We start from the raw sequence: 14,313 nt of genomic DNA on the forward strand, positions 1-14,313 counted from the left end.
ACTACTTTATTGGAAAGAAATCTTAGTGGAGGTATGCTGGGCCATGGAGAGCCAATCCATGATGTGTTGAGATTTAGTAAACCCCATTCTCACCCACAAGAAGTAAAGGCAGTACAAGGGGACTCCCAGTGGTTTCCTCCAGACCAGGGACTGCACCAATCCAAACTTCGTAGACTCTGCAGATTTGGTAACTTTCCAACTGTATTAGTCCATTTTCATGCTGCTGATAAAGACATACCCCAGCCTGGAAAATTTACAAAAGAAAGAGGTTTATTGGACTTACAATTCCATGTGGCTGAGACGGCCTCACAATCATGGTGGAATGTGAAAGGCACATCTCACATGGTAGCAGACAAGTGAAAAGAGAGCTTGTGTAGGGGAACTCCTCTTTTTTTTTTTTTTTTTGAGACAGAGTCTTGCTCTGTCGCCCAGGCTAGAGTGCAGCGGCACGATCTCAGCTCACTGCAAGCTTCGTGGGAACTCCTCTTTTTAAAACCATCAGATCTCTTGAGACTTATTCACTGTCATGAGAGTAGCATGGGAAAGACTTGCCTCCATGATTCAATTACCTCCCATTGGTTCCTTCCCACAACATGTGGGAATTCAAGATGAGATTTGGGTGGGGACACAGCCAAACCATAACATTCCACCCCTGGCCTCTCCCAAATCTCATGTCCTCACATTTTAAAACCATTCATGCCTTCCCAACAGTCCCCCAAATTCTTAACTCATTTTAGTATTAACTCAAAAGTCCACAGTTCAAAGTCTCATCCGAGACAAGGCAAGTCCCTTCCACCTGTGAGTCTGTTAACTCAAATGCAAGTTAGTTACTTCCTAGATACAATGGGGGTATGGGCATTGGATAAATACAGCCATTCTAAATAGGAGACATTGGCCAAAACAAAGGGGCCACAGGCCCCATGCAAGTCTGAAATCCAGCAGGACAGTCAAACCTTAAAGCCCCAAAATGATGTCGTTTGACTCCATGTCTCACATCCAGGTTAAGCTGGTGCAAGAGGTGGGTTCCCATGGTCTTGGGCAGCTCCACTCCTGTGGCTTTGCAGGGTACAGCCTCCCTCCCTGCGGCTTTCTTGGGCTGGCATTGAGTGTCTGCGGCTTTTCCTGGCACATGGTGCAAGCTTTCGTGGATCTACCATTCTGGGGTCTGGAGGACAGTGGCCCACTTCTCACAGCTCCACTAGGTGGTGCCCCAGTAGGGACTCTGTATGGGGACTCCAACCCGACATTTCCCTTCTGTACTGCCCTAGCAGAGGTTCTCCATGACAGCCTTGCCCCTGCAGCAAACTTCTGCCTGGGCATCCAGGTGTTTCCATACGTCTTCTGAAATCTAGGTGGAGGTTCTCAAACCTCAGTTCTTGACTTCTGTGTACCTGCAGGCTCAACACCACATGGAAGCTGCCAATGCTTGGGGCTTCCACCCTCTGAAGCAACAGCCCAAGTTGTACCTTGGGCCGTTTTAGCCATAACTGGGGTGGCTGGGATGCAGGGCATCAAGTCCCTAGACTACACAAAACAGAAGGACCCTGGGCCTGGCCCATGAAACCATATTTTCCTCCTAAACCTCCAGGCGTGTGATGGGAGGGGCTGCCGCAAAGGTCTCCGACATGCCTTGGAGGCCTTTTTTCCATTGTCTCAGTGATTAACATTCAGCTCCTTGTTACTTATGCAAATTTCTGCAGCTGGCTTGAATTTCTCCTCAGAAAATGGGATTTTCTTTTCTATTGCATTGTCAGGCTGCAAATTTTCCAAACTTTTATGCTCTGTTTCCCTTTTAAAACTGAATGCCCTCAACAGCACCTAAGTCACCTCTTGAGTGCTTTGCTCCTTTGTAGGGACATGGATGAAATTGGAAATCATCATTCTCAGTAAACTATCACAAGAACAAAAAACCAAACACCGCATATTCTCACTCATAGGTGGGAATTGAACAATGAGGTCACATGGACACAGGAAGGGGAATATCACACTCTGGGGACTGTTGTGGGGTGGGGGGAGGGGGGAGGGATAGCATCGGGAGATATACCTAATGCTAGATGAGGAGTTAGTGGGTGCAGCGCACCAGCATGGCACATGTATACATATGTAACTAACCTGCACAATGTGCACATGTACCCTAAAACTTAAAGTATAATAAAAAAAAAAAAAAAAAGAAATTTCTTCCACTAGATACCCTAAATCATCTCTCTCAAGTTCATAAGTTCCACAAATCTCTAGGGCGGAGCAAAACGCCACCAGTCTCTTTGCTAAAACATAACAATAGTCACTTTTGCTCCAGTTCCTAATAAGTTCCTCATCTCCATCTGAGGCCACCTCAGCCTGAACCTTATTGTTCATATCACTATCAGCATTTTTGTCAAAGCTGTTCAACGAGTCTCTAGGAAGTTCCAAACTTTCCCACATTTTCCTGTCTTCTGAGCCCTCCAAACTGTTCCAGTCTCTGCCTGTTACCCAGTTCCAAAGTCACTCCCACATTTTTGGGCATCTTTTCAGCAGTGCCCCACTCTACTGGTACCAATTTACCATTTTAGTCCGTTTTCATGCTGCTGATAAAGACATTCCCGAGACTGGCAATTTACAAAAGAAGGAGATTTATTGGACTTATGGTTCCATGTGGCTGGGAAGGCCTCACAGTCATGGTGGAAGGTGAAAGACACGTTTCACATGGCAGCAGACAAGAGAAAAGAGAGCTTGTGCAGAGGAACTCCTCTTTTTAAAACCATCAGATCTCATGAGACTTATTCACTATCATGAGAATAGCATGGGAAAGGCTTGCCCCCATGATTCAATTACCTCCCACCAAGTCCCTCCCACAACACGTGGGAATTCAAGATGAGATTTGGGTGGGGACACAGCCAAACCATATCACCAATACTAGTTAATGGAAAGGACCTGTGTCTTTGAACAGGGCAAAGGGTTCTGGGAGCCAGTTGGCTGCGATTTGTAACCAGGAACAAGAGGAAAAGAATCCAAGGGAGAAGAGCTGCTGGGGCAGCAACAGAGAACTGAGCCCAGCTGAGAAAGGAAAAAATGCCAGAGTCCTCCTGTGCCTCCCCTCTAATTCTCCTCTGCCACACTTGGGATGGGCTCAGTATCTCCAAGTTCAGTGCTCAAGCAGACTGAGATGCCAGTTTCCAGTTCTGGCAGGTTCTCCCAGTCCAAACCCCCATCACATTTCCTGGGTGATGAAGGCTGAAGGACAAGGGAGGGGACAGCCTCAGCACTTCCCCCAAGCCATCTGCCACTTGCTCGAGCTTCTCTCATTATCTGCTGGGTAGAGATGAGGGGCAAACTGAGGTGGGGCCGATCTGCCTCTCTGTATACCCTAGAGGATGAATCTGGACCTTCAAAGTTGATTGTTCTCTGTAGAAAGTAAGGTCGTTAGCACTTCTTGGTACTTACTCAGCTTTAGGCCTAAGTTATGGATTTTAAAATAGCAGTTACATCCCATTCAACATCCTATTACAAAAATATCAGAGCAAAAGCTGAAATTCTCCTTCTTCACACATACTCCCCAATCTTACCTCCTTTACTTAACTTTCTTTTCTAAAAAGCTTTGAAAGAACTAAACAATGCAGAAAGTAACATAGCAGGCACTGTTGTACCAATTACCCACTACTACTCAGAATGACCAAATGTAGCATATTTTCCCATTTTCTCCCAATGTTCAAAATAAAAGGAATATAACATTATAGAGAAAGTTGAAATCTCTTTGTTCATCCCAAACCGCGTCATATACCTCTTCCTGAAGGTAATTACTGTCATGAAGTTGCTATGTATCCTTTATTTTTTTAACTATGCATTAATTAACCAGCAAACCGTACATATCATTTATTTATATAAGTTATATGCTATGTGTTTTGTTCTGCAAATTTATTTTTACTCGTTGCCATGCTTTTGAGATCTTTGTTAATTAAAAAACCTCATTCATTTTAACTTCTATGTAGTAATCTATTGTATTAATATTCCAAATTTTGTTTAAGTGTTCCCTTTTGATGGACAATTAGATTATTTGTAATTATCATTGTTACTGTTATAAGCAAAGGTACAGTGAACATATTTATCTACATGACCCTGAACACACATGCGAGATTTCCTCTAGGACATACAGCTAAAAGAGAAATTATTTGGCCAGATACATGGCCAATTGATTTCTATATTTCAGTAGAAAACTTGTCTTGAATAGGAGTTGTGTGTGTGTGTGTCCTATTTCCACATGACCCATCTGGGTCCCCTGTGGTGAATAAGGTCTCCCACTGGTGACTTGAGGTTCTCCTGCAGATCCTATTTGTGAGCCATTGGGCATCTTAGCTCAATTCATGGTGGGCTGACTGTCCATGTTTCCTTCAGCCACCCTGGACGGCAGCTGTGTGCCGGGTGAGTTAGAGGATGAATTGCAGCTCTATAATGATCTGTTTTCATTATCAGAGGAGTCCTTCTCAACTCTCGTTTCTCGCTGACTGCTTCTCCTTTCCATAGCCTGACTTGAGTTCTTGCCTGCTTTGACCATGAGAACTGAAAATTGAGGACTAGTAAGTATAAGCCCTTCCTGGGGCTCCTATCACATGGCATGTGCCCATTGGAATGGTAAAATTGAGGACAAATGTAAAACAAAACAAAACAACAAAACAAAACAAAACAAAACCTTTCTCCAGCACTAACAGCTGGTGGGCTTAAGAATTATTCAGGTTAAGTTGAATTGACTTCAAGTTTGAGCTGACTTGGTCTGTGAAGTTGTATGGACTTCTAATCACCAGAAATCCTCAGCTCTGCCTCAGTCTAAAATTACCGAGTCCCTTCCTTTGAGTCAAGAAGATAAGTCAAACTATTCTAGAAAAGCCACCATCCCTCTAGGACCTCATGTATTAATGTAGGGTATGGGCTGGGCTGCTGACTCAAACAATATATTCCTCTCCTGTGCAATAAGGCAAGTGGAAGCTTTTCCCCATGGGTTAATCCAGTCACATAATTTCTTCTATTGCATCCTCCCCTCACCACCTCTGTGGAGCACCAAGTCTCTATTCCAGCTCACACACACAGGAAATGGCAAAAAAAGAAGTGGGGAGTGAAAGCTTTCTTTGAAAAATGAGATGTGAAAGTTGCACATATCTCTTCTGCTTCTATCTGTTTGCCAAAATTTAGTTATAAGGCCACCCCTTCATGCAAGGGATGCTGTGAAATGTACATTTAGCTGGGTAGCAACTGTCCTGCTAAAATCCAGTGGGAAGAGTGCTCCCTTATTAAAACGAAGAAGGGGAAAACGTATCTTGGGAATATTTAGCAATCTCTGCCTCATCTGGCACTATATTTTGATACCTGCACAGGTAAGAAAAATCCACTCACGTAATACGAAGTCAAACCATAACCTATCTACATATTTAGATCTATCTATCTACAACTATCTATAGTTCATCAATTCTAACACACGTTTTACACCATAGCAGCTCAGCTCTCAAACTGGAATGTCTCTTCACAGTTGATGGTGTCTTATGGTCTCTGCCAGCCAGAAAGCAGTAATGGTGTGGTTGTCATTGCCTGCACATTCATAAACTTAGCCATTTAAAGGATAAGCTCTCCACAGGTGCGAAAAAACCCCAAACATTTAAGACCATTTGAGAAAGGAATGTGAGTGTTGGCCTTGCCTTGTAATCTTCTGTTGACACCTGAAAAAAATCAAGGATGTTCCAGCATCAAAAGTTGCAGAATGGGTGTCAGCTTCTTGGAAGAAAATTCCAGAGAAAAGAGAGGAATCCTCAGAAGAAATGCATCACCAATGCTCTTGATAGCATGAGGAACAGAAATACACAGAAAAATTATAAACTTTAATGATTCTGAGTTGAAAAATAAATTATAAGACTTTGAATGTAGATATGTAGAATTCTCTATTTAGTGTATGTTTTAGCATGATATATGCTAAAAGTCTATTCTAAATAAGCCCAAAAGAGCTTTAAGCAATATGAAAACATCGAGGCTATCAAAATATTATCCCAAACTTGGAAATAGACAAGAGAGATTTATTTTTAGTGCAGTGCTAGGTTTGATTTTCTATTTGGCTATTTTATAATTTTATAGAGGTAGAGTTTAGATTGTAGATTTAGTCCAGTAGAAATGCAAATCATTTCTATCCCATGAAATGGATAAGCCCAATGATATGGCTATAGCTTTGTCTGATATTAATCAGATTTTTGCTTTGTTTTCTTCAAATTTAACCCAACAATCTAGTAAATCACCTATATATACACCCAACTTCTCAAATCCCATTTGGACTCGTTTAATATTATGCTTGTTCTCTTAATAATTAGCAAGTTGAATAAAATCTTTGATGTGCTTACTTTAAGTTTGCATGAGAGTTTTCTTCTTCCTTTAACAAATCATAGGACACTTGGCAGCATTTCTTTAGTGATGCAGAAAATAATGGCATGACTTGCAATTGATGGCATGCTAAGTTCGATGGATTATGGTATTGCTGCTGCCTCAATTTCTATTTCATCAGCAAGCTAGTGAAAAGGAAATTAGGGTGACCAAATCACAAATGTTGTAGGCATGACATCTCAAAATGTTTTGATGAAGCTTTAGTCTGGAAACACTCTGCAATAGGCATATGTCATTATTTTGCCTGCTCAGCATCAGAAATGCATTCCTTTGTTTCGGGAATTTCCTATCTGTGATATCTTATGGCACATTGAGATGCTTTCCCACTGCTGAAGCTAACCGTGGCAGATACTTGCTTCCCCAGCCTCCTTTGAAGCTGAGACATAGATATGTTTACACCATCCTGGACTATAAATTAGAAACTGGTGCCTCAGTCAAGCAGGTTCTTCAGGGAATCCTCTCTAGGGGTGGCACTAGCTGTCACAGACAGAGTTCTTAGGGTGGCCATCGCTGAAGCGGGAGCACTGGGCAAGTGCCTAGGGTGGGTAGTGGAGGCAGCATCAGTTTTTGGCCTGAGTTGATCTGAGTCCTCTGAGGTTGTGTGGCCTCTCAATTTGCTTCTCCAGCTACCTTGTAAATGCTGTGAGCCACTCAATCTCCTTTAATAGCTTCTCAATCTTCTTTAATCAGTGAGAGTCATTTGCATGAAACAGAAAACACCAATGGAACAGATATTGAGACTCGGAGAGTCGACAGGAAGCAGTGCTTCATGAGTAAATTTGGTTTTCTACCTGCCCAGTTGTTTTGATGACTCACACTAATTGTATTTGAGATGACAGATATTTTAAAATTTAATGTAGATAAAGGAGCCCAAAGACCTAGAGAGATAGGAATGTTGTAGAGAATTTATCATGGCAACCTGTTTTGCTATTCCCCAACTATGGCCCTCAAGCTGGCCTGCAAGGCACTCCCTTTGCCAAAGCTTTGAGGGCCATCCTAGAACCTTTAAAAAACACTGCAGCGGGGGAATCAGAGATAGTTAATGTAGCCTGGTTGGGGCTAAAGACAGTGAAAAAACACTGGTTTCCTAGAGTTTTCTCCTGGTTCTCTAACTCTTCCTCTCCTTGATAATTGCTCTCTGGAGGCTGGTGATACAGGTGAAAGATGCTATCTTTGAAATGGCTTCTTGGTCTCAAAAGGGATATCAGGATCCCCATGGTACTGGCCTTGAACTAACGGATGATTCCTGGGGACTTGGAATGCTGCTGTACTTCCCTTAGTCAAGGAGTAAGGATTTCTTTGGTTGTGTAATAAGTGGAATTTTTAGTCAAGTGCACCCCATAGTAGGCACAGGGGAGGGGAGAAGGGGAGAGTCTAGTTCTTTAGGGTATAACTGGATTAGGAGTAGTCAACATCTGGCAGAATTTCTACATCAGCTCCCTGACCTATGGTAAGAGCCACTATGGTAGGAAGGGCCAATGAAAAACCTCTGAAACTCCTCCACAGAAAAATTATAAATCAAAAGGGATATTGGACCCCTAGGGAAATAGCATGAGTTTACGTGGTTGTCCAGCCTTCCCGACAATTCTTAAGCTGCCCGGTATCCTTTTTAAAAATTCTTGTTCTGCTGAAATCCTCTGAAGCCAGTTTCATTTGCAGTGCCCTGATACTGCTATATGATTATTTTGCCAATGAATTGTATAATTAAACATAAGAAAAAAAGAAGTTTTATTCTTGGCAGTTGTTATATCAAAGTTAGGTAACTTCACTTTGAACAGAGAAAACTAGCTCCTGTGATAAAATAGTCATGAGCTTCTGCAGGCACTTAGCAGTTTAAGAAGTAGCCAAGAGACGGATTGGACACCACCAACATATTTTACTTATTTGAACAATATGTGTGCACACCCACTTATTGGACCACAGGCAAAAGCCCTGAGGTTTGGTCAAAATCAGAATGCTACATTATGATGGAACAAGAATCTGGGGAAACATAAACAAATCCAAAATCTCTAGGATTGCCCGACTACAAACAAATACTCGAGCTTTACGCTGCCACTCCTGGAAAAATAATAACTGGCTTCTAATAGGCAAATAGTTCTAGGAAGAACAGACATTTGGAAGACACAATTTGCAGAGAGACCAGCAGGCATATATTTAGGGAACCATAAAAGCCTCTCTATAATAAATGCAGTTTAATTTTTTCAAAAGGCAAAATCAAATTATGCTAAAAGAATTAAGATAAAGTCTCTTGCTGCAGAAAAGACACTGTTTATCTTTGCTTGTATGATATTAATTTATATATTCCTGGGTAAAAGCAAAAATTGAGCTACAGAGGTTTTTGGTTAGTTTCTTTGGCTTGTTCGTTTGTTTTAAATCAGTCACCAGCAATTATAGATTCTTTCATATTCACACATTTGTTCATCCAACAGTTTTTTTCAGTGCCTGTCTGTGCTGGGCTCAGGGAAAGCGTGGGATAGGCTGGCATATGAGAAAAACATGGTAAATTTGGGCAACTAAAAGCAGCCGTTGGAGCACAGGAAACATAAAGGGCTACAGATAAGCAAGGATCAGATGATAAAATCCTTTGAGATGGCATTAGAGAAACCTGACATTATACAGTGCACAATGGAAAGACATTACAATCCTTTAATTAAGACATGGATGCAATCAGGTTTGGCTTTTAGAAAGATCACAGCTGCCACATGGAGAATGCCACATGGAGAACTGGAGGGTTCAGGAGTAGGTGCACCCATGTTGCAGGAGCTTAGGAGAAGGAATGGAGGCAATAATTGGAAGGATTCAAGACAAATGTAGGCAGTGAAATTAACAGGAATTTGTTAAGTAAGTATGTGTGTATGGGGGGAGGTATGAGGCCAGATTCTGACTTGAGAAATAAGATTGTTGGTGGTACCAATCTCAATTATAAATTACACAAGAAAAACAGAGTTGGGAGTGGTGTAAATGATGAGTTTGGTGTGTTTTATTCCAAGTGCTTGTGGCACATGAAGGTTGAAATATCCAAAAGGCTGCTGGATACATAAATCACAAAGAAGAGATCTGAGCTGAAGACATGGCCTCTGAAATCATCAGCATCATCCCACTAGTGGCTGAAACCAAGGGTTGATGGGAGAATAGCAAAGCACATAGAAGAGGACCTTGAGGAACAATAAACATAAGGGCTGTGGCTAGAAAGAGGGGACCATAAAGATGACTGAGAATCAGTCAGAACCAGAGATGTCATGGAGGCCGAGGAAAGAGACTTGCAGGAAGGGGTGGGTAACAAGTAAGTTACAGACTGAGAAGTAGCCAATGAATCGAGCAATTAGGCTCTTTTCTGTGAGTTGTTTCTGGGGAAGAGAGTTATGCTGCCTATCATAACAAGGCAGTGTTTCTTCTCCTTTTCTTTCTCCTCTACCATCTCTTCTTTCTCCTTCATCTTTTTCTTCCTCTTCATTCCCTTCTCCTAACCCTCCCCTCCTCCTTACTCTTCTTCGCAGACCCCCCAAATTCTTAAGACCAATGGGAAGTTTAAAAATTCAACTATGTAATTCACATCCTATAGTTGCTTTTGGTGGAAACACTTTCTCTAATATATTCAAGACAGACTTTCTCATCTAAGATAATTTGCCCTGTCATCTGTAGGTGATTATTTGTTCTAGGGACAGAAGAGCTCCTGAATAACAGGAGTATTGGTAGGGAAAGAAAGAAGTCTGTTGCAGTGTTCTAAATGTGGGAGTTGGGGGGGATTCAGACATCAGGTTTCGGGAATAAAGAGTATTTGAGTGTTGATCTGAGAAAGAAGAGGTGAGAGGAAATAGAGGAGATGAGATTAAGAGCCAGGCAACTGAACACGTGCAAAAGGAGGGTGAATGTGCAGAAGTCTAGATCTTGAGAGCAGGGGAGGAAGTTAAGTTTTGAGGTTGCTAGAGCAGAAACACTTGAGCAATAGATGCCAGGCTGGCGGCCGTGGTTGGGTAGAAACCAAAGACCCATGGGCTTTTGCTCCCTGAGGGCACTGACTAAAACTTCTCTCCTCTCACCTAGTTTCTCTTTGATCTTTGCTGTTTGGACTATCCACTACCTCATTTTCAATTTGTTTATTCACTTATTTATTCAAAAAATGCTTGTTGAACGTTTATACGCATTAAGAAGTGGTTGTTGAACATTCACTACGCATTAAGTAGCAGATATACAGATGGAAACATGGCATCCTTGGCCTCAAGCTATGCTGTTTAAAGTAGAAATTGGAAGACCCATGAACAAGCCTTCCCTCTGACTGTGAAAAGTGGTATAGGGGAATTCAGTATAAGTTCTGTGGAGATCCTCAACAGGAGGACACCTATGTCTTTCTGGGCCATCAGAGAAGCCTTCAGAGAGGAATGAACTTCTGTGGATCCTTCTTCACAGTTTCAGGTGCCTCTTACTTTGAGTAGCGTCTGGGATGCCCTTGCCTGGAGAAATGATCTCTCCTGTCTGCTGCTTTCTTTGTCTTACTGAGGCTTTAGGGATTATGTCTCTTGGAATTTTTATGTTGATTTTTTGACCTCTCATTCAGATCTCTCATTTTGGTATTTTGTTCTAGTTCTCTATTAGCAGGTTGCAAGTTTTGGATTAGATGATGTCTGCTCTACACCTACTTCTTGGGTTATTCCATCTCAGGAACTCATTACTTCACAACCAGAGAATGCATATTTCATCGTTTTAAGTTTGTTTCATACTCGTGGTGGTGGTGGGGAATTCTAACCTCCTTGTCTCTGGCCAAACCTAATGACATTGATGATAAAGGACTTGGAAATAATAAATGAAATACGGTCACTCTGTGGACCAGGATAATGTTCTCCTAGGAATGTCTTCCTCAGTTACACACAACAAGAATCTGGCTCTTAGAACTTCAAAATTAAACATCCAAGTCTACTGATAATGGAGCATTTTAAGTTAGAGGAAATAGTATTCTTGGAAACTAACCAAAATAGTTAGAAAATAAAATGGGTTTAGTAGGTGCTTTCAAAGGGTGTACTACAGACATTAGTATAAATGAGCTTGGACAAAAATCCCCTGTCTCTGGTATATGTATGTCACTCCACACTATCCCTTTCTTTCTCGACAAGGAGATTTTGTTATAGAATCTGCCTAATGAGAAAATCAGAAAAAGAAAAGGTGATGTTCTCATTTCAAAACAAAGCTTAAAAATTATATCAATGCATTAACAGAAAGATATGTTAGTGTACTTTAATAGATTTTATGTGATTCATTCACAGCTATGATTTTATTGTGAAACTGATTTCTTCATAAACTGGGTTCCTATGCAGTTTTTCCCAGGAAAATGAAAATGGATGATCAAAATGATAAATACTATAAATTAGTGACAGCCTTCTGGGTAATCAAAAGATTATTTTAAACGTGTAGAAAATGCTAAAATGGGTCTTTTCATCTCTCAATTTCAAGTGAGGCAACAATATGATAGACATTAGACACCAAAGTGGGTGTGAAACAGATTGTCATATGCAGACTTTACAAAAGGAATGCTCAAAGAACAGTTTCATAACTTTGAAACTCTTGAGTGCTTAATTTACTTTGAGAATATAAAAGTGTAAAGAAAGAGGAGACACGCGGGGACATTATCAGCTGATTTTCTGGGGAGAGAATTATGGCTGTCTGTGAGTTTCCACCTCTCTTCCCTACAGGAAAAGAGGGGTGTGGAGGGGCTGTCTTCTAATGTCAGGTTGCAGGAGAGGGAATTTCACGAGGTCATTTGGCAAGTTTTCTGTATACTCCCTTGCAGGGAACTGCAGTTGGAGGGGTCAGGGACTGGTGCCTGGGAAAGCTAAGGAGGCCAGTGGCAGCTAGAAGGAGGTGGTCACTTTGTCTCAGCATTTGTCAGTAGGCGGTAAACACAAATGTTTCCTGTGGACCAGATGTAGAGAGAGATGAGTCCAAACTGTTTTAAGTCTGTGATAGGCAGCTTTCAAAAATGGCCTACCATGATTCCTGTCTTCTGTTATTCATGCCCTTGTGCAATCTCCTCCCTTGGAGTGTACGCTGGACCTAGTGGCTTCTTTCTAATCAAGAGAATATGATAAAAGTGATGGGATGTCTCTTTCATGGTTAGGTTACAAAAGACTGTGATTTCTGTCTTGCTGGGCACTCTATTCCCTTCTCAGCTTGCATGCTTTGGTGAAGCAAGCTGCCATGTTGGAGAGGACTACCTGGCAAAGAACTGAGGGTGACCTCCAGCCAAAAGCCAGGAGGAGCTAAGGCCCTCTGTCCAGAAGTCTGTGAGGAGCTGAATCCTGATATCAACTATGTGAGTGAACTGGGAAGCAGCTCCTTTTCAGTTCAGCCTTGTGATGACTGTGGCCCCAGCTTTGTAAGAGACCCTGAAGCGGAGGACGTATCTAAGCCAGGCCTAGATTCTTGGCCTATAGAAACTGTGAGATAATAAGTGTGGATTGTTTTATTTAATTAATTAATTTATTTGTTTATTGAGACATGGTCTTGCCCTGTCACTCAAACTGGAGTGCAGTGGCACAATCATGGCTCACTATAGCCTTGATCTCCCAGGCTCAAGTGATCCTCCCACCTCAGCCTACTGAGTAGCTGGGACTATAGGCATGTACCACCATACCCAGCTAATTTTAATTTTTTTAAAATATAGTACTAGAAATGAGACCCTGATCTGTTGCCCAGGCTGGTCTCAAACTCCCAGCCTCAAGAGATCCTCCTGCCTTGGCCTTCCAAAGTGTTGGGATTACAGGGATGAGCCACTGGGCCTGGCTGATTGTTTTAAGCCTTAAGTATTAATAGTATGGTAATTTGTTATCCAGCCATAGCTAACGAATACAAATTCCTATCCAAAAGGACACCCTGGGGAATGAGGAAGCTTTAACGGTAAGAGTCTGTGTAGAGTGGACAACTCAATAACCAGTACAGAGTGGGAAACAGCAGCGAGGGGGACAGAACATGTCACTCATGTCAAGGAAGCCCAGCAGAGGAGCCTCTGATGAGCTCTTAGAGGCACCCATGAGAGAAATGATGGATTGTAACATGTATCAGGCCCAAAAAGAGCAAAGCCATAAGCAAAGAAGACTTCCCTTGGCCCTCTTTCCCTTCCTTCATCCCTCATACCACTCTCAGAGGGGCTGAGGCTCTGGTCAGCAAAGAAGAAACAAAGAGGAAGTGAGTAGGTGGCAACCACACCCCTGGGCCCTTCTACAAGTGGTCTGCTTAAAGCAGCTCCCAGATGAGGAAGGAAAGAAGATTTTGCTCTAACTTCAGTTTAGATATTAATATTTGGGGCTAGCCAATTTCTGCTTGTGAATTGAGCTTGCCTTTTGTGACTTAAAATGACCAGAAAAGCCAGCGCTTTCTTTCAGGTACTGAGGAAAATCATCCCCACTGAGGATATATTTAAAGTTGTGTTTTGATATATCACCAACTGTGTTGTTTGACATGCTGGTTACAAATATATTTTAAGTCTTTGAAAATTGGTAGATTAGTTATTCTGTCTATAGCAATGTTCCTAACTATGTCATTCCATTTTCCAATAATTTTAGGCAATAATTTACTATATTATTCTTTATTTTGTTTCTGTACCAGGAACATACCAGAATTCTTTAAAGTTCAGGATACAATCTCTTGGGATTTTTAACATAATGTTTACAAATTAAAATCTGGATGAATGTGTGCACAGAGGTTGTTTAAAGCAGTGAAACTTCTCTGTATGATGCTATAATGATGGATACAAGTAATTATAAATTTTTCAAAACCCACAAACTGTACAATACCAAGAGTGAACCCCAGTGAAAATTATGGGCTTTGGGTGATAATTGATGCAGGTCTATCAGTTGTAATAAATGTACCACTCTGGTGTAGGGTTTTGATAGGCTGTGCATGTGTGGGGGCAGGGAGTATATGTGGACTGTC

The 14,313-nt window shown here is 41.7% G+C and overlaps 1 annotated feature.

The window, feature by feature from the left end:
- Window positions 13,460-13,509: an enhancer, noted in NCBI's record as "active region_15585". NCBI's record gives its function as "activates an Ori minimal core promoter by ATAC-STARR-seq in GM12878 lymphoblastoid cells {active_cell/tissue: GM12878}" and the evidence as "EXISTENCE:reporter gene assay evidence [ECO:0000049][PMID:35858748]".

Source organism: Homo sapiens, chromosome 2 (genome assembly GCF_000001405.40).
Source record: "Homo sapiens chromosome 2, GRCh38.p14 Primary Assembly".
In the NCBI taxonomy this organism is placed as follows: Eukaryota; Metazoa; Chordata; class Mammalia; order Primates; family Hominidae; genus Homo; species Homo sapiens.